Source organism: Homo sapiens, chromosome 11, assembly GCF_000001405.40.
Source record: "Homo sapiens chromosome 11, GRCh38.p14 Primary Assembly".
Taxonomy (NCBI): Eukaryota; Metazoa; Chordata; class Mammalia; order Primates; family Hominidae; genus Homo; species Homo sapiens.
The window spans coordinates 108,753,631-108,780,422 of NC_000011.10; the positions used below are offsets into that span (position 1 = coordinate 108,753,631).

Sequence of the window (26,792 nt, forward strand, 5' to 3'; positions counted from 1 at the left end):
GTAAGCATTTACGACATACAGTTCTTGTGGTGTATTTTTGTTTGATAATTGAAAAGCATCACGAAAAATTGCAAGTATTGGACACAATGGCAAATAAGCAAAAGTATTCTGAAATGAATCTAGAAATTTTTTTAGTGAAGTTTTATATTACATGAGTGAGTTTCATTTTTAATTTGGTGTTACTCTGAGCCACGTGGTACTTGCTTTAGTAGTATTTATAGGCTTAATCAATTTAAAATTTCTTAGGCTTTTCTTGAGATGCCTTAGGAATGTGAAGTGCTGAATACAGGGTCGGGTGTGTATATATAAAGTAACATATATTACATTTATTATTGGCTGTCTTTTCCCTTTAAAAAAGTGAATCCAAGATATTAATTTCCTGATTTATCTTTTGCATTTAGTGTTGACATCACCTCATTCATTAAAGAATTTGTTTCTAACAGTTTTGATGCTGATTTATGTTGCAACAAAGTAATAGGCTTTCTATAATGGCCTGTTTTCTGTTCAGATTTGATTCTGCTGTGTTGTCGGAAGTGAATCGTTTAGCTGAATGATTCATTTAACAGAATCATTTACTGTTTCTAGTATACAGTATAGATTCCAAAGGCCTAGCCTTTAATATGAGCTTCGCTTGCCCTCCGTCTGAGTTGTCTAAGTAGCATGAATTATTTCCCCATCAGTGTCCTCATAGTATTTATTCATTAATATGTTTGAGGGCAGTGCTTAATTTTTAAGGTTTATGTTGATAGTGTCAAGTTTAGAATCTACTGCCATAATCGAGTTTTCAGGTGGAATGAGGTTAATCCATTGGGGTTTAGGAAGAAAATATTAGAACTTGTTTTTATTTAATCCTTCATATTTTTCTGTGTATACTTGATTTTATGTATACTCACATTCATTTATTATAAATAAAGTATACATTGGGTGCATATTTAAAATGTTCCTATGAAAAGATGTAAGTGATTAAAAGCACTTGGAAATGAAATAGATGAGTAAGGGTCAAAACTAGAGTATAGCCTTAGGTATATGAGAGGAAGAATGGTAATTCAAGACACACTGTACATCTAGAATCTATGGGTGATAGAAGGAACAAAAAAGATTCTGTTTTCTTGTTCATAACTTTAGTTAGCCTGGGAAATCTATGAGAACGGAGAGCAAACCTTATTCACTATTCTATCCCTTGTGCTTAACTGGATGGGCAACCAGGAGCATAACAGTTAAAAACCAGAAAGTCAGAACATCAGAAAAGGTTGGATTTTCAGACTGATACATTTACATCTGTTTAATTTGAATATGCTAGCTCAAGTGAGCTCTCTTATATTTCCTGCCTTCACTATTTGAGGAAATCTGATTTTGTTGGCTGAATGTCATGACCCCTGACCCTGACACAACAGATGCTGTCGATGGGGAATAAATGTGGGACAGGAATGATTGTAGGCTGTGTAGTAATTATGGTACAAACTGCTGTGGTTTTGTAAGACCTGTTCTTGGCAGGAGATGTTGCTTTCCTTGGGGACTTAGAAAAACCTAGAGGTGTCCATGAGAGCCACAAAGAGAGAACGTGCTCTTAATCAACACTAAAGCAATGCATTCTGATAACACAAGCAAGAACACAAATCCTTCCTGCTAATAAAAGCATTTGCCCTGGAGAAAATCCTTGAAGTTACTTTTTATAGCTGCATGATTTTTTCTCTAACTTATGAGAGTCATGAATTTTATTGTGTACTCAAACTTTTAAAATATCTTTTTGGTTATGATTTGGCAAAGTAGGCCCCTGAGACAAATCTGGCCTATTGCCTGTGTTGTAAATAAAGTTTTATTGGAACACAGACATACTCATTTGTTTAGGGTTGCTTTCAGGCTACAACCACAGGATTGAGTAGTTGTGATAGACCATGTGGGCCATAAAGCCTAAAATATTGAACTGTCTAGCCCTTTATAGAAGAAAAATTGTGTACCTCTGAGGCTTTTGAGCTTGCAGATATTTTATGGATGGTTCTTTCTCTTTTCCCAGTTAGATGATTTTCAGATGATTACATGGAGAAGCTTACTTTTATGAGACAATATAGTGAAATGGTTCACAACGTTGGCTCTGGAGTAAAACTTAGAGTTCAAACCTTGCCTCAGCCATTTGTAAACTGTGTAACTTGGGAAATATTACTTCTTACTTTAGTTTTCCTCTTCTGGAAAATAAGACTAATAATAGTACTAGCTCAAAAAGTTGTTCTGAGAGTTAAAGTGAAGTGTTTAATGCATAACAGATGCTCAACAATTAAATATTAGGTGTTATAACTTGAGCCTTTTTCTTTCTCTCTCTCTCTCTTTCTTCCTCCCCCTTCCCTCTTTCCCTCTTTCCCTCTTTCCCTCTTTTTCTCTTTTTGTAAAGGAAAAGGTAAAAGGAAATATTCCAAAGTCATGTGTCATGTCAGCAGCTGAATCTTTCCTTATGCTTAGCTTCTGGCTATACTGATTGTGTTAGTGCTGCTACAGTTGTCTTTTTAAAAGATGTTTGTTGAAACCATAGGAATGTTAGTTTGCAGTAAACTTTATCTAATGTGATTTGTGTTGGTAAATTTGTATTTATTTTTCATACGTTGATTTAGTGAAATTCAACTTGAGGTTGTCATTAGATTGCTTATGGTGTCCTGTATGATTCTTATATGGAAAAGAATTTACTAGTGCTGTGAGACCACATACATTTGGATGTCAAGCTCACGGAGATCAAATGGCATTCTTGGGTTTAATCAGATTGCAAACACAATGGAGTTTATAGTTGCCTAGAGAATAAGGCCACTGAATAGATCAGAGCTAAATTTAAATTGACCCTCTATTTTCACTCAAGTTAATTTACTCCACTTAGCTATTTATTTAGCTTTTAGGTTGCTCCATGCATTTGGATTTGTCTGTTGATTTAAGATATTGTGGACTTTACCTGATCTTTGGTTTATATACTACTAACCTAGTAACTTTGTTTCTGTAATGTCTTTGTGGGTCAGCTGTTAAAGCTGAAAGTGTGCTAGAGCTGTGTATAATTTTCCGCAGATTTTAGGTTGGCTTCTTTCAGAAGTCCCCTTCATTGCAGCCTCACTAAAGCAAATAAGGTAGTGTTCTCATGTTTCAGAATATCTGTCTGTGTTCCTTGATGGTTCATGATGCCCATTAGGCTTTTGGCTAGTCCTATGGTGAATAAAATACAGTTCTTACGTTTTAGTAAATTACAGTCAACATCGAGTCATGTCTTGTTATCACATACTTTTGGTCTTAATTGAAGGCTAATACATTATGAAGTTATTTGGGTAGAATTATCTCTTTTATAATTCCTCAGACATCCTGACACACAATCTTTCCTGACCTGGGAAAGATCTGAAAAACAAATGCAGTAAACCCAGAACAGATGATTGTAGTCTGAGTCTGTGTTAAACTTTTCACTTTAATAGGTTCTCCCTGTGGAGAGGACAGGGGAAGGCGCTGCTGAGGAAGGCGCTGTAAAGTCTCCCTTCTCTCCCCACAAATAATTCCTCAAACCAAATCATCAACCTGTCTGCAGTCTCCTTCACCTCTGTCTTCTTCCTTATTTCCTCTCTCTCTGCAAGAAATGTTTGTTCTCTTTTCCAAGATTCACGTTGCATTTCAAAGTTTCCGACTTACAAAAACTGTTACCAACTTTTGTGTATCTGTCTGTGTAACATAAGCTACACCTGTTAATTATAATTTTATGTAATTATCCAGCTAAAAATATTTACTGTTAACCATATTTTTCTAGTTTTGGAGACTATTTATGGGATTTGGAAACAGTTGTGTGCACATGTCACACTTCTATTTATTATGATAATTTCCATACTTATCAAGGTTCCTAGGTTGCAATAGCTAGAAGCACTGTGGCCAGGAGTGCTCCCAAGGGATTTCCTGTAAAAGCACAGTTAACTTCCTTGGTGTCAACCTTAAAAATTAAGCCACCTTAATAATCAAGCTTTTTTCCATAGTCTTGTGATTACGCTTAGATGTGACTAGACCCTTCGACTACATTTTTCCAGAACCACTTGTTGGTTGTCCTCTTGAAAACTTTTTTCCCTCTGACCCTAATTTCTTAACCTTCTGACCCTTATAATCTGTTTTTCTCCCAGTACTTGTTTTCTGGCTTTTCCCTGACCTTTGGTTCATTTTCTTACTGTCTGTCAATCTCAGCTAGTTACTGCTTGCTGTTTTTACTATCGACTCTGTGATCGATCTCTTAACCTTTTCCTTTTTTGTTTTGGTTTTATCAGTACCTTTAATGTAATTGCATTCCTTTCTTTCCACTTCATTGACCTGGCAAACTTTAAACCAGAATTAATTTGACTGTCAGACTTCCCTGTGCTTATGCTTGGGCTGCCTACTGCTACAGCAACCTCAGTTGGGCGCTTCTTCTTTTACGCCATAGTGGCAGCATTGTCTTCATGGTTCTTTACCCTCCTAACTAGTCATCCCCCTGCTCAACTGTTTCAAATGTCCTCCAAGAGATGTACAATGTGGCAGAGACTTAGGTTCATGGTGATAAGTGAGGGGTGAAGCTATAGGTTATACTTTTTGTATTCTCATCACCTACTACAGGTTCATGCTCAGTGGGTTTTCAGGGTGTTTGACAAATGCTTATATTATTTATTTTTAGAATCTATACCATCTCAGTCTATAAGAGATCTGAAGTAGCTCACAGGAAATACATACCAAATAGTGAAATAAACTTAGCAGTAAAACTTCTGGCTTTGGTAAAACATTAGGACAGGAGGATCTGTATCATGGAGAAAATGGAATAATACAGGGATTGTATTAGTTTTCTGTGTTTGCTGTAATACATTGCTATACACTTAGTGGCTTAAAGCAACACAAAGTTATCTTAGAGTTCTGTAGGTTAGTAGTCTTAAATGAATCTCACTGGAGTAAAAGCAACGGGTCAATAATGCTGTTTCCCTTTCTGGGAGGCTCTAGAGGTGTTACCCTTTCCTTGTCTTTTTCCAGAAACCACCCACATTGGCCTCTTTCTGTATCTTCAAAGCCAACAACAGTGGGTCAAGTGCCAAATTCTTGCATCACATCACTCTGATCTCCCCTTCTGCCTCCTGTTTCCACTTTTAAGGATCCTTTTGACTTTTGATTACATTGGACTCATCTGGATGATCCAGGACAGTCTCCTTACTTTAAAGTTAGCTGATTAACTGCCTTAATTCGTTTTTGCCATGTAACTATATTCACAGGATGCCAGGATTAGCATGTGGACATTTTTTGGGGTCGTTTTTCTGGCTACCACAGTAACTGATGATAAAGCTCCATTCAGTTGCTCTAGTTAAGTCATAATTGTGCCTCTAAGCTGCCTTTATGGTGGCCGAAAGGAAAATGGGAAGTAGTCCTTGTTAGCTTTTGTATCTATGCTAATGAAAATACCACCTATAGTAGTGCTATTATAGTACAATCCATATGATCACTTCAATTGTTCTGGGTTCTGCACTAGTAGAGGTTGGCACTAGTATGGCTAATAAAATAAATTGGAAATGGATAATTTAATAATTAACCCATTTATCTCAGATGCTATTTAAATTATTTTTAATTATTTGATTATAACAACATAAAACTTTGCTTAAGTTTCTTTTACTTATAGCTGTCATATACCTATATGACCAAAACAAAATAACAAAGCTAAACACCAATAAACTTCAAATAAATAGCATTTGTTTATGGGATGGATGATAGTTTTTTTAGTTGGCCATGTGGGTACTCCACTGGTTTGTGTGACGATTCAGTGTTCCTACTCTATTTGAACTTACGCTAACCATCGCTCATACAGCTCCAGGGGTGTTGTTTGGTATTAGTGTAGTTTTCAATACTCCACTGAACTCAGATGGTAGATATGGTTGTAAGGTAGTCATCTATTTGATCTAGAATGTGCATTTAGATTTTAAGATTGTCATTGAAATGCAAAATTAAAAAGTTTTTATAGCCAACAACTCTTGAGACTTCTTGACACTACATCTGTTCTAGGGCTTTTAAAGACTCTGAACTTGACAAATGCTAAAATGGCAGAATTTGATTGTGTGTCTCATAGCCCCGCATCACTTTTTTTTCCATGGATAATATCTCACGACTAGATTTTCTATGCATTACTTTAATCCAATAACTCAGAGTAGGATGTGGCAGTAAGATTTTTGTTTTAAGATGCTGCCTCCCCAGGTATATTTTATCAGGAATATTTAGTATTATTATAAAATTACCAGGTAAAGAGGGAATTTTATGGCCACATGTTTTTGTGTGGAATGTGTTTTCTTACCTACTTCATTGTGTTGAATTTGTGAAAGAAACGGTTTTGATATGTCTTCAGAAATTGCCTGCATTGATCCATGTTAAAAAAAAAAAAAGAATCTCACACTATAAGAGTTAGACATAAATTGTGTTTGTTAGTGAAGGGTACTCCTATCAATTCCTTTGTTTCTCATTTTCTTTGAATTTGGAACATTCACTTACATCTTTTCCTTTTTGTGTTTTCTGTATGGTGTACGTGGGTTGATTCCCCCCCCACCCTTAGCATTCAATATGCTTAAGTGTTATTTTATATATTGGATTGAATTTTTATGGATGTTATTTGTCTTAACAAAATATGTATCTCTACAGAACATTGGCATAGCTTCCTAGATTCCTTGGTGGGTTAGTGTGTATATGAGGTAGCATGGTTATGGGTGGCCACCTGAGGACTAAGGAGAAGGCAGGGAAGGACATGGAAATGCTAAATTCTTTTCCACTTTCTGTATTTTTAAGAATGACTACTACATCTAATATGTTTACAAAACCCAAACCTGTTCAAACTCATGCATGTTTTCATATTAGTTTATATGGGAACATTCTCAACATTGATCCTTCAGAATTATGTATGGTCATTTTATTTGGGCAACTTAGGGCTGCCTCATTTGGTGAATAATTTCCTTTAAATGTATATGTAAATGAAATATGTTTTTATTTGGAAAAATATAAGATCATACTGGGATTTAATGTGTTTTTATTCATGTACAACATAACACTGTTTTTTTTTTTTTTTTTAAATTGGACTTCAGGGCCTGTATAGGAAAGACAGTTACTTTATCCTGTTTTTGTATCTCAATAACTTAGAGATGAGTGACCTGTTGAAGTAAAAGCCTAGAGTTTAGAAATGGGAAAATTGTTTATGCTGTTCTCAAAAAGGAGTTCTAAGTTTGTTGTTAGTCATTGCCACATATTCCTTTTCTGATTGGCAGGGCTGTTCACTTAAATCTTCACTGAAGTGATGTGAAAAATTTTCAAAGGTGGAAGAGTGAATAAGTATAGTAATTCAGTCACTAAGCACGCCTATTGGAATTCTAACAGTGTAACAAAATTTAATCTAATATATAATACTTTAACCATAGCCTGCATTTTAAAAATAATACAAATATAAGGTATAAAATGAAAATAATTTTCGAGTTCTCATCACTTCTGCTTTTATTATGGAGTGTGTTATAATCTCCAAGGACCTGGTTAGTTTTCTGCCTTTTCTTTTCCTAATGGCAACAGTACAAGCATCCATCAAAAATGAGAACCAGGGCATGAGCGGATCTTTTTCAACTCAGTTGATTACTCAAAGCAGGGAAGTTGTAAAGGAAGCCTGCCTCTGTTTTAAATGTTAGAAAAATGTTAATATTACTTGTGTTTTTCCTTTTGGAGAACAGTAGTAGTCTAGAGGCAGCGCCTCTAAATTTTTTTTGTGTGGCCTATGAGTTCGTTTTGTGTGGCAGTAACTATTTGTGGTCCTCTTTGATTCAGGACTCTCTAAATGGCTTTTAAAGACTTTAAACTTCAAATCTTTTCTATTACAACATTCCCTTGGTTTCGTATGCAGTTACTTCTGGCTTGGTGAGACAGTTTTCCTATCATTGTGTTGTCCTCAGTGATTATTGATTAGAACTCCTTTGTTAGCTGGGCAGCTCAGAAAAACATGTGGGGATCACTGTATTACAGAGACAAGGATTGTAGAAAAAGGGTCAATTATAAATTTGAATTTGTTTTCCTTGTAAGACATTTAGTATCCCTAATGATGGTGTTTCTACTCCAACTTACATATCTTTTGGCCTCTGCCATTTGGGTCACCAGAGAAAGTATCTTGTAAGAAGTAAAACTAACTGGTAGCATGGAGAGCTGTACTGTATACTCAATTTCCTGTAGTGTACATTATGTGGAAGACCATACGTTACTGCCATGGGAGATGTATTAAGAATGGAAAATAAGGTGTAGTTGTAATAAATCATTAAGTAAATTTATATAATATTTTCTACACTAATATAAATATGAAAAATCAAAGTTTGAGTTACTGCCCTCATTAAAAATGAGTACAGTTGACATTTATTGTTTAGACCTTGATCAAATTGCTATTTAAGCTTCTAAACTTTTAATTTCTATTGTGATCTAATAGCTGACAGGAGGAGGTTGAACTAGATCTCTTAACTCCCTTCCTTGCTCTAAAATTCTGATGCCTTGGGGTATTTTTATTCTTTATGGTTTGATATGATTCCCTTGTTATTGAATGCAGTGCTCAAATACAGCATTGACAAAACAGGCATCTACTAGTGAGGCAGAAATAGATAAGCGGCCCCTATGTAGGTAACATATTTGAGGAAATTGGCAGTTATTCCTCTTGGAGTTACTTTCCCACTTAGGACCAGTGTACTGTCAGGTAAATGGTGTGGCTCATTTATGTTTGGCTTATGAAAACAAAGCACACACCAGGGACTACAGGATAATAAATAAATCCTTTTCCATTGTTGATATCACTGAAATGATGGTAATTGGGCATTATCAGTACAGATCAGCAACCCAGGTTTAAAAACTAGGCAATAGAGACCAAAAAACCTAAGAAGGAGTTCCTGAAAGCAGAACATAAGTTACTAGTCAACTAGAAATTATCTTCTAGATGAAGGGGGAACTTGATATTGAAGGTCCTATGAGACAGAGGTTCTCCAAACATCTTAATTGTGTAGGCAAGGTGGATCACATTGGGGCTAAGTAAATGATCCTGATTAAAGTTAGGGGAATGCAAAAGTTAAGTCTAGATCATGGTCTCAAAGTTTTTTCATTTATGTAAAAATTATATACATTTTTACCCTCACATTTATAATATTTTTCTTCCACATCCCCATGGAGAGTGCTTGTCTGTTTGGCTGACAGTGAATACTCCTTTCCTTCTTTCCTTTCTCGGACAATAATATTGTTTTAAGCATTTCTTAAAATGTTGCCCATAGGCTGTGCTGGCTTTCCTTCGCTGTATGTAGAACTCTTTGATTCCCTTTAGTCAGAGTGTCTTTGAATTTCCCTATTATGCCTCAAAGAAATTGCAGCCACAAAGTGATGGTAGAACATATAGATCCTCTTCTCTTGTAACTTGTTGCTACTCCCTGTTCTCATTGATCCTTGAGCAGGCTTCACTACAGTGCATACCTCCCCACAGAGGGGAAGCTGGGTGTCCTTGGCAGAACAGGTGCTCACTTAATAGAGGCAGAGAAGGGTCTGGTGCATTTTCTTCCTCTGGTTGCAATTCCTTGGTGGCCAGATCACACTGTGCGCTGTAGCAGTAATATTGAGAAGTTGATTGCTCCTCTAATGGAGCAGGATGCCATTGCTGTCTTAATTTCATAGGCCTTCCTGAAGGTCATCCTCACTTGGGCTTATTTTTACTGTCTCTCTCTTCTTGGTTTAATAAGAATCCATAGTAACATAAACATTAAAAAAACCTATCCAAAAGGTATTCTATTACTAGAAACAATATGCCAGTAACAAATAAGTCTAAATAATCCAATTACCAGGTAGGAGATCTGTGGCCAGAGATGTGGGGGGATACTTAACATTTCAGAATGCATACTAAGTATTTACCGTATCAGTTAGCACCATGCTTTTTCCAGTATTGAATTTACTGGGCTTCCTTTTAAAATGGGCTAAAAAGCTTTTTATTTTAGGAGTGTTTTATAGTCATACTGTGATACAACTAAACTCATTTGATGAAAGAAAAGTGGACTTTCTTAATTGAATCTTTCAATTGAATTGTGACTCATTGGATAGTAGATGCTATTTTAATTGGGGATTAAGTTGGAGAGAATTTGATTCTGTTCAAAATTTGTGTGTAATAAAAAGCAAAGAGTTTTTATTACTAATAAACATTCTGTATCTAGTAATAATGCATTAAATAGTTCAAGCTTAACATTTTTGTGTAAGGATAGCTGATATTCAAAGGGAATATGCTGTGTTCTAACAGGTTTCAAATTACTTACAGAAAATACAGATTGACAAAGGTTAACAATTCCAAATATAGAGCTTTCATTATTTTATTGGCCAAGTGAATAAAATAATGAGAATTGTAGAAATAGGCCATTTGTTTTTTGAGGGCAAAACAACTAAAACCTTTGGTGGATTCCTGAATGGAAAATCTTTAGAACTTCCTTTTACAGGCAGTATATATTGTGTTAGATAGCAGCAAAATGAAGTTTGCCTCCTTCAATTTTATTTTATTTTTTTAAAAGCTTGCTTGCATGTAATCGTTAAAACATTTCATAAAAGGAATGTAACATCTTCCAGTGAATTTTGGGTTTAGCCACATACAGCACATGATGAAGAGTGAAAGAAATGGTGACAGGTGGTGTTAGTTAATTTTGATGTTGGGGGGAATAGCATCTTGAGGTTATTTTTTATAAAATTCTCTCCAAGGCACAACACTTCTACTGTTTGCAAATGGGCCAGGTGCGGTGGCTCTAGCCTGTAATCCCAGCACTTTGGGAGGCCAAGGCAGGTGGATCACCTGAGGTCAGGAGTTTGAGACCAGCCTGGCCAACATGGTGAAACCCCGTCTCTACTAAAAATACAAAAAATTAGTTGAGTATGGTGGCGGATGCCTGTGATCCCAGCTATTAGGGAGGTTGAGGCAGGAGAATTGCTTGAACCCAGGAGGCAGAGGCTACAGTGAGCTGAGATCGCGCCACTGCACTCCAGCCTGGACGAGAGCGAAACTCCATCTCAAGGAAAAACAAAACAAAAATGAACAGAATAGCTACCCTGATACTGTGAATATAAGCAATCACTATAATTTGAGATGGAATGAGGTTTAGCATGGAATGTATTTCTCAGCATTACTTTCTTTGATTTTTGTCTCTTAAAAACCTGTAAAGATTTGAGAACTGATCATAAAATAACTAATTGAATAAAACGACTTGAATTGTCATCTGTAGTGATTCTAGTGTAAATTATGGCATAAAATTAAAACTTCGGAATGAAAAAACCTGTTCTTCAAAAGTATGTTGTCTTATTTAATGACAACATGCAAATGAAAACAAATTTACATTTATTGCAATTTAAAATTTATTTCTTTGTTTTAACTAAGATATTAACTTTTATGCAAGGTTTCAATAGACCTTTCTATTAAATAATATACTGAAGAAGCCAAATTTCTTTATAGACCTGAAAGAGAGGCAGAGTAATCTACAGTAACATTATTTTGCCAATTCCCTAAAGCGGGTTTGTACCCTGACTCTGAGGGAACAAATATAACAGTCTATTATTTGCTTAAAATTGATGGAGGTGTCACAGCAGTGGTAGTGGGGCTGAATTTACAAAATGGACTCCTTCAGTTTATTCTAAATCCCCATTCTGTCCCTCCCTTGGATTCTTTAACCTATATAAAATTAATCATAGTATTTGAATAGGGATAAGAAAAAGCATTAAACTTAAAGTTTCACATACTGTAGTAGTTTTAGAAGATTACTTACAGCTCTTTCAGAAACATTACTTAAGACTAGATGACAAGAGACTATTAGTTTTAAGGTAAATTAGGTGCTCTGTCTTTAAGTTTGGCCCAGAAAAATATTTGTAGCCCTAGTTTCACTTCAGCTGCCAAAATGCAATAAAATATTTCGACTGCAGTTTGAGAAATTTGACAACCTCATATTAAATTCAAGAGTTAGCCTGTATTTAATATGTGTCAGTTTACTTCTGCATTGCAAAATACATGGCTAACCATGGTGTTTGACACTTGCTCATGCACTTTTTATCACAGGAGCATCACAAAATGATTTTTTATCTGCATTGAAATAAATGAGATTTTCTGTTAAACCAGTGCAGCAATTCAACAATCATTTAGTTCCTCACTGTGTGTTTTGCACATTACTTGGTGAAGTGAGAAGGTATTAAATGGACTAGAAGATTAGGTTAGGTGTTACTGTAAAGAACCTTAAATTGTTGTTGAATTTGGACACATTTTAAGGAAATTTAAGTAGCTTCTCATTCATTTGAAGTATTGAATCATAGGTGCCTACAAAATTGAATGACCAAGGTTCTCCACAGTTGCATTCCTAATTGCTGCAAAGCCTTACGTAAATGTTACTGATAGTGTTTTACTTTTAAAAATGATTTTGATTTGGGTAGATTTCCCATATTATCCACAGGCCTCTACATTTATAGTTCTGATTATATTTTCCTTTGTTTTTGTTTTTGTATTCTTTCTCCTCCACTGTGATAACCTAATGAAAGCATAATTTTTTTGTTTGCTTTTATATCCCTCACAGAATCCAGCAGTTTTCCTTAGGAAGAAGTAAATTAACATGTGGTTATACAATTCATTTTGTATCGTATCCGCTGTTACGTATTCCCAGTTCTTCCTTTGTAATGTCTTACCTGTAACTTTGTTTCTGTCTTAATTGTCATCATGAGAATAAGGTAGCGCAGGATTTTTAAAATTCTTTACTTCACTCAAGTACATACCTATGTATTTAAACTCTTTGCCCTGGTGTCTTTGGAGACTCTTGCTTGAAAACCATTGTAAATGCTGTATTCTTTAGATCTCATATTATCATAATGACTATTAAACATATATAGAACACACACTATGTGACGTGTTTGTTTTCTCATTGTTACTATTTAGATTTGGAGTAAACTTGTATTGTAATAACTTGGGAGTGAGTTTTATTTGTGGTTCATAAAATTTTTAACAAAACGATATGGAGGAAATTGTAGTTTAATGAATGTTGTGGTTTTTGAGATTAAATTTTAATAAGCCGGGGAAGTGCTATGTCATATTAGGAAGGGTCATCTATTTCATCACAGTATTTCCTGCACCAGTGCCTGGTACATAGTTAACACGCCTTGAGTATTTGAAGGACTGACTGAGTGAATGAGTAACTGAGTACCATTACACATCGTTGGTAGAGTAATTAACTGGCTAGACTGGTGTGCAGCCATCAGGACTTTAGGTGCCTTGTTGGTTAAAAGCTTTCAGGTTGGCTTTAAAAGTATGGAAAACTTAATTATTTTGAGAACCCTTTTATTACGTAATAGATGCTAATTGATGTCTTTTAAGTGGTTGTTGGGGCAAGGGACTCTTCCACTTTTGGGGTACCAGCTGTTTCAGCTCTTATATTGGAGAGTCAAAAGAAAAAGCAGTAGTAGGCACTAAGTGATGTGGACCTCATCATACATATCGCCAATTGTCTTTAGCATCTTCATATGATTTCAGCTGCCAGTAAACAATTCATCTCTGGACTTATCTTACTGATTATTGGAAGTCAGCATTGGGATTACTTGTTTTATACTGAGATGCTTTTGGAGAAAAGGCAGTATAAAAGTGCATCTGTGCTAAGGAAATTCATTTTCTCCAATGAAGTAGAAGTCAGATTTCATGTTCCTCTGGGACCAAACAATAAAACCCTGTCTCCTTTCCAATTCCAATAAAGGTATTCAGGCATCGTAGACTTGATAACATGTGGTGAGTATAAGACGTTGATTACTATGAAGAGAGGAAGGTGGAAAAGATTAGACTGCCTTCACTGAGATCTACTGGCAGCATTAGCACCTACAGTGGGGATAAAGGCTGTCTCCTCTTAGTTTTCAGTAGTCAATCCCAGAGAGATGTGCTTTATGCCCTAGCAGTTCACAACTGCAAATTTCAAACTTTTTAGTTTTCCTACTTAGATTCTGCTATTTTATCCCTTGTCCTTTACTTATGCTGTTATGAATACCCTTTACTTAGCTTTTTCCTTGCTGAATTAACTCATGATTTAGTACATTAAGAGTTGTTTTATGTGTGGAACTGCCTATATAATCCTGGACATATACAGTTGACTCTTGAATAACATAGGTTTGAACTGTGAGAGTCCACTTAAATGTGGATTTTGTTTTTCAATAAAAGTAACCCCAAGTGTGCCTGCCTCTCCTGCCTCCCTTTGCACCTCCTCCACTTCTTCTGCCTCTGCTACCCTGAGACAGTAAGACCTGCCCTTCTTCTTCCTTCTGTTCAGCCTACTCAGTGTGAAGACAACCAGGATGAAGACCTTTATAATGATCCACTTCCACTTGATGAATAGTAAGTATATTTTCTCTTCCATATGACTTTCTTAATAACATTTTCTTTTCTCTAGCTTACTTTATTGTAAGACTGTGATATATAATACATGTAACAAAATATGTGTTAATCAACAGTTTATGTTATTGATAAGACTTCCAGTCAACAGTAGGCTATTAGTGGTTAAGTTTTTGGAGAGTCAAAAGTTACATGTGGATTTTTGACTGCCTGCCTGGGGTGGTGGGAAGTGAGGGGAGAGTCAGCGCCCCTAATTCCTGTGTTGTTCAAGGGTCAGCTGTGTATCTGTGGTTTCCAAAGTGAGGAGCAGGATGTTCCTTTGGGATGAAAGAATGAATTAGATTTTTCTATCTATACATTTATCTTGAGAGGAGAAAAGGTTTTCTCTTGTTTATTAGTTGAGTTAACACTGGCACTGTTGTGTCATGTCAAGTGGACGTTTGTTATTATATACAATATGAGAAGTGTCCTGAGGAAGAGTGGGAGTTGGTGAAACAGAAGAGTTTGTATCAGTATCCTGACTTATTTATTGGGTTTCTGCATATTGCAGCATATTTTAATTTGTCTTGCGGCCTGGTTATCTTAAGCATCCAAATTTTGTGGTTATCTTTGATGTCATAAGAGCATACTTGAGGTAACTAAGTCTAAGATTAAGCAATATTTCTACCTCATGTACAATTTAAGACCCTTGGAACACTATTCACTTTTCCAATTTAAATGTTACTACATTCCGTATTTTGGTTTTATTTTTTAAAGTACTTCCAACATTAGTTGTTATCCTCTTCCTCGGATATCCTATTTCCTCGTCTTTTTTTTTGCCCCGTTTTAAAAATGGCATTTTGATTTTTAATATGGTATTTAAAAATACCATATTTTAGTAGTTATTTCAGTGAGAGTATGTTTTGTTTTTGTTTTGTCTGTCTGAAAATGTTTTTGTTTTGTCTGTCTGAAAATGTTTTTGTTTTGCTCTGAAATGTTGATTGGGTATGACAGTTATCTTTGTTAATCTGAAGGTATTATCCCATTGTCTTCTGGCATGTGCTATAGCTTGGACTAGTCTAATTGTCATTCTCCTGAAGTAATTTGAATTTCTGATTGCATTTAAAATTTTGTATACATAGTCACTGATTGGGATTCATATTTCCTGTGTCTGAGGATTCATCTCTTTCATCAGCACTGGAAAATTATCAAGTTTTTTTTTTTTCCCTTCACGACTTCAACTTGATATGTTTCCTTTGATTTTGTTGATGTTGTATAATCTCTTTTTCATATTTTTATTCCTTTATCTGTGCTTTCTTCTGTTTAATTGCTCAGATTCATCTTCTAGTTCATCTCTGATGTCTTTTTCTGTATCTGATTTATGGTTTTAACCCAAGCATTGGTGTTTAAATTTCACTGCCCATTTTTCATTGCAATAAGTTATATTTGGTTCTTTTTCTAATCTGCTCTTAAAAAAAAGTAGTATCTCATTTTTGTGATGTTGATTTATTCTCTTATATCTTTAGTAAATGTTAAACTTAGTTATTTTGTAGTATCCGTCACATAATTCTATTATCTAAATGTCTTGGAAATATAAACTCTTGTGTTTTGTGTGTGTTGATTTTCACAATGATAGGTTGTTTCCATTTTTTTGTATAATTTTGTATTATGAACTCATCCTTAGGTTGCTTCCCACCGTGGGAATTTTGTGTGGTCTAGTTTGAAAACATGTCCCTCCAGGTCCTATTTTATATTTGCTTACTCTTTTTAGTCTCAATAACCCTGTAAACTCTCAAATTATTGAGGGGCTCCAAAGAGCTTTTGTTTCTGTGGGTTATACCTATTGATATTTACTGTATCAGACATTAACACTGAGATATTTATTCAATACTTGTTAATTTAAAATAATAAACTCATAACATGCTAACATAAAATAGTTAATGAAAAATAACTGTCTCAAAATAAAAAAAATTTAGTGAGAAAGTGACAGCATTAGTTTTGCAAATCTCTTTAACATCTGGCTGAAGAGTTGAATACAGCAGGATTCTAATAAAAGCTTCAGAGTTCAATCTGTTGCAACATGTTTCTTTGAAAGGTGTTAAGAAAATCTGGCCTCACACAGATTGGTAGTGGGAAAAGGAGGAGTGTTTTTATTTATTTATTCATTCATTCATTTTAATTTTTGTGGGTACGTAGGTGCATATATTTGTGGGGTACATGAGATGTTTTGATACAGGCATGTAATGTGAATTTAACACATTATGGAGAATGGGCTATCTAGCCCCTGAAGCATTTATTTATCCTTTGAGTTACAGACAATTTGATTATGTTCTTTAAGTTATCTAAAAATAAACAATTACTATTCACTATAGTCACCCTATTATGCTATCAAATAGTAGGTCTTATTCATTCTTTCTAACCACTTTTTTTTTGTACTATTATGCTATCAAATAGTAGGTCTTATTCATTCTTTCTAACCACTTTTTTTTTGTACTCATTAACCATCCCCCCTCCCCCCTCCCCCCTGCACCAACCCCCACTACCCTTCCCAACCTCTGGTAACCATCCTTCTACTCTCTCTGTCCATGAGTTCAATTGTTTTGATTTTTAGATCCTACTAATAAGTGAGAATATGAAATGTTTGTCTTTCTGTGCCTGGCTTATTTCACTTAACATAATGTTCTTCCAGTTCCATCCATGTTGTGGCAAATGACTGGATCTCATTCTTTTTTATGGTTCACTAGTACTCCATTGTGCATATGTACCTCATTTTTTTTTTTAATCCATTCATCTGTTGATGGACACTTAGGTTGCTTCCAGTGTTGCAACAAACATTGGGAGTGCAGATGTCTCTGATATATTTCCTTTCCTTGGGGTATATACCCAACAGTGGGATTGCTGGATCATATGGTAGCTCTGTTTTTAGTTTTTTTTTGTGGAGTTTCCAAAGTGTTGTCCAGAGTGGTTGTGCTAATTTACATTCCCACCAACAGTGTATGAGGGTTCCCTTTTCTCCACGTCCTCACCAGCATTTGTTATTGCCTGTTGTTTGGATAAAAGCCATTTTAACTGGGGTGAGATGATAACCTCATTGTAGTTTTGATTTGTATTTCTCTGATGATTAGTGATGTTGAGCACCTTTTCATATGCCTGTTTGCCATTTGAATGTCTTCTTTTGAGAAATATCTATTCAACTCTTTTGCTCATATTTTGATCAGATTATTAGATTTTTTTCCTATAGAGTTCTTTCAGCTCCGTCTATATTCTGGTTATTAATCCTTTGTCAGATGGGTAGTTTGCCAATATTTTCTCTCATTCTGTGGGGGTGTCTCTTTACTTTATTGATTGTTTCCTTTGCTGTGCAGAAGTTTTTTCTTTTTTTTCTTTTTTTCTTTTTTTTGAGATGGAGTCTCACTCTGTCACCCAGGCTGGAGTGCAGTGGCATGATCTCGACTCATGGAAAGCCACGCCATTCTCCTGCGTCAGCCTCCCAAGTAGCTGGGACTACAGGCGCCTGCCACCACGTCCAGCTAATTTTTTTGTATCTTTAATAGAGACAGGGTTTCACTGTGTTAGCCAGGATGGTCTCGATCTCCTGACCTCGTGATCCGTCCGCCTCAGTCTCACTGTGCAGAAGCTTTTTAACTTGATGGAGGGTTATGAGAAGGAGACTTGGTTCTGGATTAGATGTTGTGGGGTCAGTGGGATGGTCTCTTATTGTTTATCTAAATGAGTGTTGTATTTCAGGAGAAAGGAATAAATGGAGGCTATAGCTTTAATTGGTAAAGAAGTTGTAGTCGTTCTTGTTAGCAAGGAAAGGTAGATATTTGGTTATTTTTGTTTTTTGGACAATGTTGATATGTTTGCTTGTTTTTGTCTTGATCCATCATGGTCAGTAGTCTTGTCTGATGTTGATGTTCTTCTAACAGGAGGACATCAAGTCTTTGCTGTGAGGGTCAGGTCTTAGCAACATCAGGGCTCTGCTAACGGTACTGGTTTTGTAGCTTTTAGGCTGTTTTTAGCTTGTAGTTTGTCCATTGTTCTTGCATGTAAAGATGGTGCCCATGCAAAAAGGTTGTAGTTGATCTTGTGACTCAACCTCACAAGTGTTTTTCCTCAAGGTAACTATTAAACTTCACTATGCAGCAGAAGTGCTTTATGCGTAGTTGTCACGTGGTCACACAAAATATTAAAAAGACTAGTCGTGAGATGAATAATGTCTCCTGCAAGAGATACACCCATGACCTAATTATCACAACCTACGAATATTACCTTAATTGGAAAAAGGGTCATTGCAGATATAATTAAAAATCTTGAGATAAGGAGATAATTTTGGATTAGATTAGGCAGGCTCTAAACCTAATGACAAGTGTCATGATGGGAGAGAGACACACAGGGAAGACAGAGACAGAAGGGGAGAAGACGCAGAAGAAGAGGAGGAGGCAGTGTGATCATGGTGGCAGAGATTGAAGTGATGTGGCTACAAACCAAGGAATGTCTGGAGCCACCAAAAGCTGAAAGAGGGAAAGAATTGGTTCTCCCCTAGTAGCCATTGGCAAGGACTGTGGCTTTGTTAGCAACACTTGGATTTTGGGCTTCTGGCTTCTAGAACTTAAAATAAATGCCGTCGAAAGGCCATGAAGTTTGTGGGAATTTGCAGCCTACCGGTCTGTGGCCTGTTAGGAACCAGGCCACACAGCAGAAGGTGAGCGGCCAGGCGGGTGAGCGGGCATTACCGCCTGAGCTCCGTCTCTTGTCATATCAGCAGCGGCATTAGATTCTCATAGGCGCTCGATCCCTATTGTGAACTGCACATGTGAGGGATCTAGGTTGCACATCCTTATGAGAATCTGACCATCCCCTGTCAGTGGAAAAATTGTCTTCCACAAGAATAGTCCCTCGTGCCAAAAAGGTTGGGCATTGTTGGTAAGGTACCAGTAGTTTAACCCACGATTGCTTTTGTATCATAACTGAAAATGTCAGTATGGTAAAATTTCGGTATTATTGTGAACATAGTTTTGACCATGCAGACTTCTGGAAAGGGTATTTGAAGAACCTGAATAGAAAGTGAAGAACTTTCTTCTTTGAGACTCTGGAGTACAGGATATAGTAACTACTTTCTCACTGCCAACTCAGATATAAAATGTAGCAGAGTTCCTTTTATTAATACATATGATATTTGTTGAATTAGAGCTTGTTACTTATTGTTATGAACTTACGATACTGGCATAAGTGAGGAGTAAGAATGGTTTCTCTCATCATTTGAGTGAAATCTACATGTAAGAGTAAATCTTTTAAGTGACAGAAAGCAAACTCAACCCTAACTTTGTTTTCTGCTTACTTAGACAATTGGCTATTGATTTTAGAGATTTACCTGTCAAGGTAGCTGCACTTACTGTTGATGTCTTGTCTTTTGGTGAAGTCTCCCTATCTACCTGTGTTCTTTAACTGCCATGGTTCTCTCTTGGAAATAATAAATTTTTTTATTTATTGTTCTATTCTTCTACCAAATGATGTCTAGGAGATCCATGAGCCTTTTCTCTCCCTTTTCTGCTTCCAACTGTGTGTACAGATGTGTGCACATGCACACATACTCAAATGCATAAATGCACTTTTCACTTAGTTATCTAGTTGTCAGCTCTTCCTGGAATCTGATTCTATCATTGCACAACTGTATTGATAAATATTGATTTCCACAGATACTTAAGGGTTGGCATTAGTCTATTTACAGCCAAATTGAGGACAAAATATAGTAAGGGCATTTAATTTGCATCTTAGAGTTCCCTATAAAAAGGAACATAAAACTTACTAATGTTTTAAAAAAACTCATTTAATTGCTTTGGAGTGTACCATAGTGCTGAGAAGGGAGACCCAGCCCTTGAACTGCTAGTAGGAGGGTGAATATCGGGCCCAGAGAAGCATAAAAGAAGATGTCTTGCTTGTATTAGATGAGATAGGAAGTACTGGTTCCCAGAGACACAAAGAATGGTGAGCTAGAGAGTGTGTCATAGCTTCAAGGCTGCATACATGAAATCACTTGGTGACTAGAGCAAAGTGCTCTTATGACAAACTTCAACAAAAAAAGCAAATTATTCCTAAGCTAGTACTGTGTAAGCAGTGGACAACCAGAAAGAGAAATCAGGCTTGTTGTCTTACTTGTTACCAGTAGGAAATGTGGAATAACTGAATTGTTGCTGTATTCTGTATATAATAAGGAAATACGTTTTGCCTTGGTTTATTGTACCTTGGGAAGTGAGAATCATTTGTTCATTGGCCGTGTGACTAGGCTGGCATCTTGTGGGCATTGCCCTTTGCAGGCACTTAGGTTGCAATTTTCTTTACACTGCTGAGTTGTTTACCATTGTTCGTCCTTTTAACACAGTATACCATTTTGTTAACATCTGTTTGCTGTTATCTTTTTGTCCTTGGAGGCTTATGCTTAAATTATTTCTTGCATGTTTTAAAATTTATCGCTTGCTGGAGGAAGCAGAGTTGGGTATACTCAATACATTATTTTTAGCTGGAAATATCTGCCTTGATTTAGCCCTTGGTTTTGAAACATACCTGAGGTATTGTTTTTTTTTCCTTGCAATTCCTGGAATCTGTACTTGATTACGTTAGAGAACATTGTTTGGCATTTCTTTTATCCCCTCCAAACTATAGGGTTAAAAGGGATAAAAACCTTTTAACCCTATAGTCTTTCTTATGCTGTATTCTGTGTTTTCTCCAGCCAAGAAGACTTTTCAGCTGTATTTTTTATAGTTTGTATGATGGAGAAATATAGGCTGTTAAATATGCTGTTTCATACCGTTCTCCGGTATGCTTTGAGGATGGATTTGGGCACACATGCAGCCTCTCTCCTCTCCAGTGAAAATCACATACTGCTCATTGTTAAGAGATTCCTGTCTCTGCCCTTACTGAGCTTCTAACTTGCTGGAACAAGAAGACATATCAATTTATATGACTGGGTGGCCGGCAGCATATTGACCTTTGGTAATTTGTAACAACTTTTCTTACCAGTCTGTGCACTTGTTGAAAGGAAACACTACCAACTAGGTCTATGAGTGACAGAGACCACGGTGAAACGTTTTCAAAACCTATTCAGAATTATACATTTGCTTATTTAAATGGTTGGTATTGCCAAATGCATCCTATTCTGAAAGAAGTGAAATAAATGTGAAAGCTGTCTTTAGCTCATTAGTGAAATGAAGGAAACATTGTGAATATCAGGATGACTTGTCATGGGAAATTAAATTGAATTGAAAAAATGTTAATCTCAAATAGATTTTGCTCTGCATACTGACTTTTTAAATGTGTCAGGTTTACATTGACAGAAAGATCTATGAAGACTTTGACCTTCACAAGGAAACACACAGTTATTTGACAATTGAGTGAATGTATTAAAAAAAAATGAGTGATATACCCGTCTGTTCAATTTGGGAGTTGGTGATGAGCTAACTGAAAAGAGTGGAAAGGAAGAATTTATGCTAAGCCTTGGTATCTGAGTCAAGTTATGGAGACCTATGTGTCTGTTTGATTAATTGCATCATCTCAAAGCAATGCCTAACTATGCTGGTTAGCTCAGGTAGCATGTGAGAACAGGGAATGCATTGACTTTCTCACTTTGCTTCCTAAATACTATTTAAAATTTAGATATAGCTATGATATTAAAAAATGTGACTTCAGATACTTATTCTCTATTTTTGTTTTTGTTACTTTCTCAATATAAATCTGCATATTTTTAGTTTTAGTACAATAAGTTAAATTTTTCTTTTTTACATTTTGAGGCATACTTTACATGCAATATAGCCACATATTTTAAGCAAGACCCTGTGCCCTTTCCAGCCCCATGTCCTTCTACGTGACTATTATTTCATTTACCATGGCTTAGCTTTGCCTGTTTAATAACTTCGTATAATCGTACAGCATGTATTATTTTTATGTGTGGTTTTTTTAGTTCAACACAGTGTTTAAAAAATTCATTATGTTGGACGTATCAGTAGGTACTTCATTTTTGATGCTGTGTTGTATCTTGTTGTTTGAATATACAGCAATATGTTTAGCTGTTCACTTGTATATGGACATTTGGGTTATTTCCATATCTGTTGTGGTTTCACCCTTAGTTTTGAGAAACACTCTTCAGTCCTGGAACCTTTCTGGGATTTCAGTGGAAAATCCAAAGTGCCATCAAAGCTCTTCTAATTTGGTGGAACTCAGACTCCAAACTTTGTCTTCCTTTCAGCGAGGGTCAGCTAAAATCTCTTTTCTGTTCTTTCTTCGAACTGTTATTTCTATCTGAGCTCCTTGGAGTTTTGCCACTTGCACGTGCATTTCAGCTGTCAGCCAAGAATTTGTGGAGGATTATACAGATATCTGAGGTACCCTTTCTGTGGCTCACTCTGTTTTGGGATTCTTAATTTCTAGATTTTCTGGGCCTGTGGTGCATGTTCTGACTCCTTAGACTAATAGATAGTGGCTTTCTGTTTCAGTGCTAGCAGTCCAAGCCAAGTAGAATGGCAGTGACCTCAGGGAAAAAGTGGGTACAGTACATAGAATTCCAAGAACGGCCCCTCGAGATTCCATATCCTAATCTTTGGCACCAATAAATATAATATTATTCCCATGAGTATGTTAAATTATTAGTTGACATTAAGATGGGGGATTATTTTGGTGGGCCCAATACTCACGTGAGATCCTTTAAAAACTCCGAGGGTTTTCTGTGGCTGGTGGCAGAAGAGGAGCTCAAATTTGAGGCATAAGGAAGATTTGGCATGTTGTTGCTGGGTTATAGATGGAGACTTTGTGAGAAGGTGGTCTAAAGAAACTGAGAGAAGTCCCTGGCTGACAGCCAGCAAGAAAATGGGGACTTCAGTCCTACAACCGGAAAGGAAGTAAATTTTGCCAACAACCTGAATGAGCTTGGAAGTCAAGTTTTCTCCAGAGCTTCCAGGTGGGGACTTGGCCCAGCTGACATTTTGATTTCAGACTTGTGATAACCCTGAGCACAGAACTTGGCCATGCTGTGCCAGCTTTCTGACTTATGGAATTGTGAGTGAATAAGTGGATATTAAGTGGCCAGGTTTGTGGTAATTTGTTATGCAGCAACAGAAAACTAACACAACAGGGATTTCCTGCAGCATGATTTCCTTCTTTCCTAAGGCTGTCCTTCAGTTTCTGCCTGATTTTGCTTATTCTGTAGTCCTTCAAATAGTAGATTTATATATTCTTTGTTGGATTTGTAATTGTTGCTATGAGAATGTTTGATATAAATTATCCTGCCATTACTGGAGCTAGAACTCAGTCTCCACGTAATTTGAGGGTTCTTTTTTCTTTTTCTTTTCTCTTTCTTTCTTTCTTTTTCTTTTCTTTTGAGATAGAGTCTTGCTCTGTCACTCAGGCTGGAGTGCAGTGGCACCATCTCAGCTCACTGCAACCTCTGCCTCCTGGATTCAAGCGAATCCCAGCTTCCCGAGTAGCTGGGATTACAGGCGCGTGCCACTGCATCTGGATAAGTTTTGTGTTTTTAGTAGAGAAGGGGTTTCACCATGTTGGCCAGGCTGGTCTCGAACTCCTGACTTCAGGTGATCCACCCACTTCAGCCTCCTGAAGTGCTGGGATTACAGGTGTGAGCCACCATGTCTGGCCAAGGGTTCCTTTTTCACTTTAAAATTATTTACACCACTCCTATTCAACATAGTGTTGGAAGTTCTGGCCAGGGCAATCAGGCAAGAGAAAGAAATAAAGGGTATTCAGTTAGGAAAGGAGGAAGTCAAATTGTCCCTGTTTGCGGATGACATGATTGTATGTTTAGAAAACCTCATCGTCTCAGCCCAAAATCTCCTTAAGCTGATAAGCAACTTCAGGAAAGTGTCAGGATACAAAATCAGTGTGCAAAAATCACAAGCATTCCTATACACCAATAACAGACAAACAGAGAGCCAAATCATGAGTGAACTCCCATTCATAATTGCTTCAAAGAGAATAAAATACCTAGGAATCCAACTTACAAGGGATGCGAAGGACCTCTTCAAGGAGAACTACAAACCACTGCTCAGCAAAATAAAAGAGGACACAAACACATGGAAGAACATTGCATGCTCATGGATAGGAAGAGTCAATATTGTGAAGATGGCCATACTGCCCAAGGTAATTTATAGATTCAGTGCCATCCCCATCAAGCTCCAATGACTTTCTTCACAGAATTGGAAAAAACTACTTTAAAGTTCATATGGAACCAAAAAAGAGCCTGCATTGCCAAGACAATCCTAAGCCAAAAGAACAAAGCTGGAGGCATCACGCTACCTGACTTCAAACTATACTACAAGGCTACAGTAACCAAAACAGCATGGTACTGGTACCAAAACAGAGATATAGACCAATGGAACAGAACAGAGCCCTTGGAAATAATACCACACATCTACAACCATCTGATCTTTGACAAACCTGACAAAAACAAGCAATGGGGAAAGGATTCTCTATTTAATAAATGGTGCTGGGAAAACTGGCTAGCCATATGTAGAAAGCTGAAACTGGATCCCTTCCTTACACCTTATACAAAAATTAATTCAAGATGGATTAAAGACTTAAATATTAGACCTAAAACCATAAAAACCCTAGAAGAAAACCTAGGCAATACTGTTCAGGCCATAGGCATGGGCAAGGACTTCATGACTAAAACACCAAAAGCAATGGCAACAAATGCCAAAATTGACAAATGGGATCTAATTAAACTAAAGAGCTTCTGCATAGCAAAATAAACTACCATCAGAGTGAACAGGCAACCTACAGAATGGGAGAAAGTTTTTACAATCTACCCATCTGACAAAGGGCTAATATCCAGAATCTACAAAGAACTCAAATTTACAAGAAAAAGTCAACCCCATCAAAAAATGGGCAAAGGATATGAACAGACACTTCTCAAAAGAAGACATTTATGCAGCCAACAGACACATGAAAAAATGCTCATCATCACTGGCCATCAGAGAAATGCAAATCAAAACCACAATGGGATACCATCTCACACCAGTTAGAATGGCAATCATTAAAAAGTCAGGAAACAACAGGTGCTGGAGAGAATGTGGAGAAATAGGAACCCTTTTACACTGTTGGTGGGACTGTAAACTAGTTCAACCATTGTGGAAGACAGTGTGGTGATTCCTCAGGGATCTAGAACTAGAAATACCATTTGACCCAGCCATCCCACTACTGGGCATATACCCAAAGGATTATAAATCATGCTGCTATAAAGACACATGCACACGTATGTTTATTGCAGCACTATTCACAATAGCAAAGACTTGGACCCAACCCAAATGTCTATCAATGATAAACTGGATTAAGAAAATGTGGCACATATACCCTATGGAATACTATGCAGCCATAAAAAAGGATGAGTTCATGTCCTTTGCAGGGACATGGATGAAGCCGGAAACCATAATTCTGAGCAGATATCACGAGGACAGAAAACCAAACACCACATGTTCTCACTCATAGGTGGGAATTGAACAATGAGAACACATGGACACAGGGTGGGGAACATCACACACTGGGGCCTGCCGGGGGTGGTGGGAGGGGGAAGGATAGCATTAGGAGATATACCTAATGTAAATGCAGCACACCAACGTGGCACATGTATACATATGTAACAAACCTGCACGTTGTGCACATGTACCCTAGAACTTAAAGTAAAATAAAAAAATAAAAAATAATAAAAATAAATAAAATTATTTACATGGGCTTCATGTTAGTTGCATAACATTTCATTGTTTTGGAGTACCATTTTCCTAATCTTAGCTGTTGGGTTGTTTCTGAATTTCGCTGCAAAAAAGTTGCAGAGAGATCCTTGAGAGTCTGTTTTTTGGCTCTGTTGTTTTATTTACTTGGAGGTAAACTGGAGCAAAATTCCTGGGTTAAAGGGATTAGAGGAAATAACAAAACCTTTGGAGTGAGATGAGTTAGTATTTTACCTTCCGTTATGCTACTTAACTGTCCGTGAGACTGTGGCAAGTTAACCTATTTTAGCCTCATTTTCTCCTTATGGGAAAGGATAAGAAAATCTATCCTTAATGGTTGATCAAGGATTAAACTATAAAGTTTTTAGAAAGCATTGGCAAAGAGATGGACATTTAATGGTAGATGAGGAGATGAAGATAAGGACCATAGCTATCGATGTGTTTTGCCACCTTGCTTTCCAAAAATAAAATGCCAATTTATGGTTGGGTTGCTTTCTTTGAATAGATCTTCTGAATAACTAATGAAACAGAGATGAGTATGAATAGAGCACAGGACAGGGTGGCTGAAGTTAAAGAGGAAGGAACAGAGTTTAATATTTACATATCAGTTGTTGAGTCAGAGCTCCAAAAGATATATAATTATTCTTTTCTCTTGAGTTTGCACATCTAAAGGAAATCCTTTTGAGATGACTTTAAGAGGGGTGGTTTTTGGA

The 26,792-nt window shown here is 36.6% G+C and overlaps 1 protein-coding gene and 1 long non-coding RNA gene across 2 annotated transcripts in view; one reads left to right on the forward strand and one right to left on the reverse strand.

The window, feature by feature from the left end:
• Nucleotides 1-26,064, reverse strand: part of LOC124902750 (uncharacterized) — an 80,188-nt gene extending 54,124 nt beyond the window's left edge. Inside the window, exons 1-2 of the long non-coding RNA XR_007062881.1 lie at nucleotides 12,775-26,064; nucleotides 4,705-4,768 (exon numbers count right to left, since the gene is read on the reverse strand). This is a non-coding gene — a long non-coding RNA (uncharacterized LOC124902750). The remainder of the gene's footprint in view (nucleotides 1-4,704; nucleotides 4,769-12,774) is intronic.
• The window catches only part of DDX10 (DEAD-box helicase 10), a 275,859-nt gene that overhangs the window by 88,562 nt on the left and 160,505 nt on the right, over nucleotides 1-26,792 (forward strand). The window lies entirely within an intron of this gene.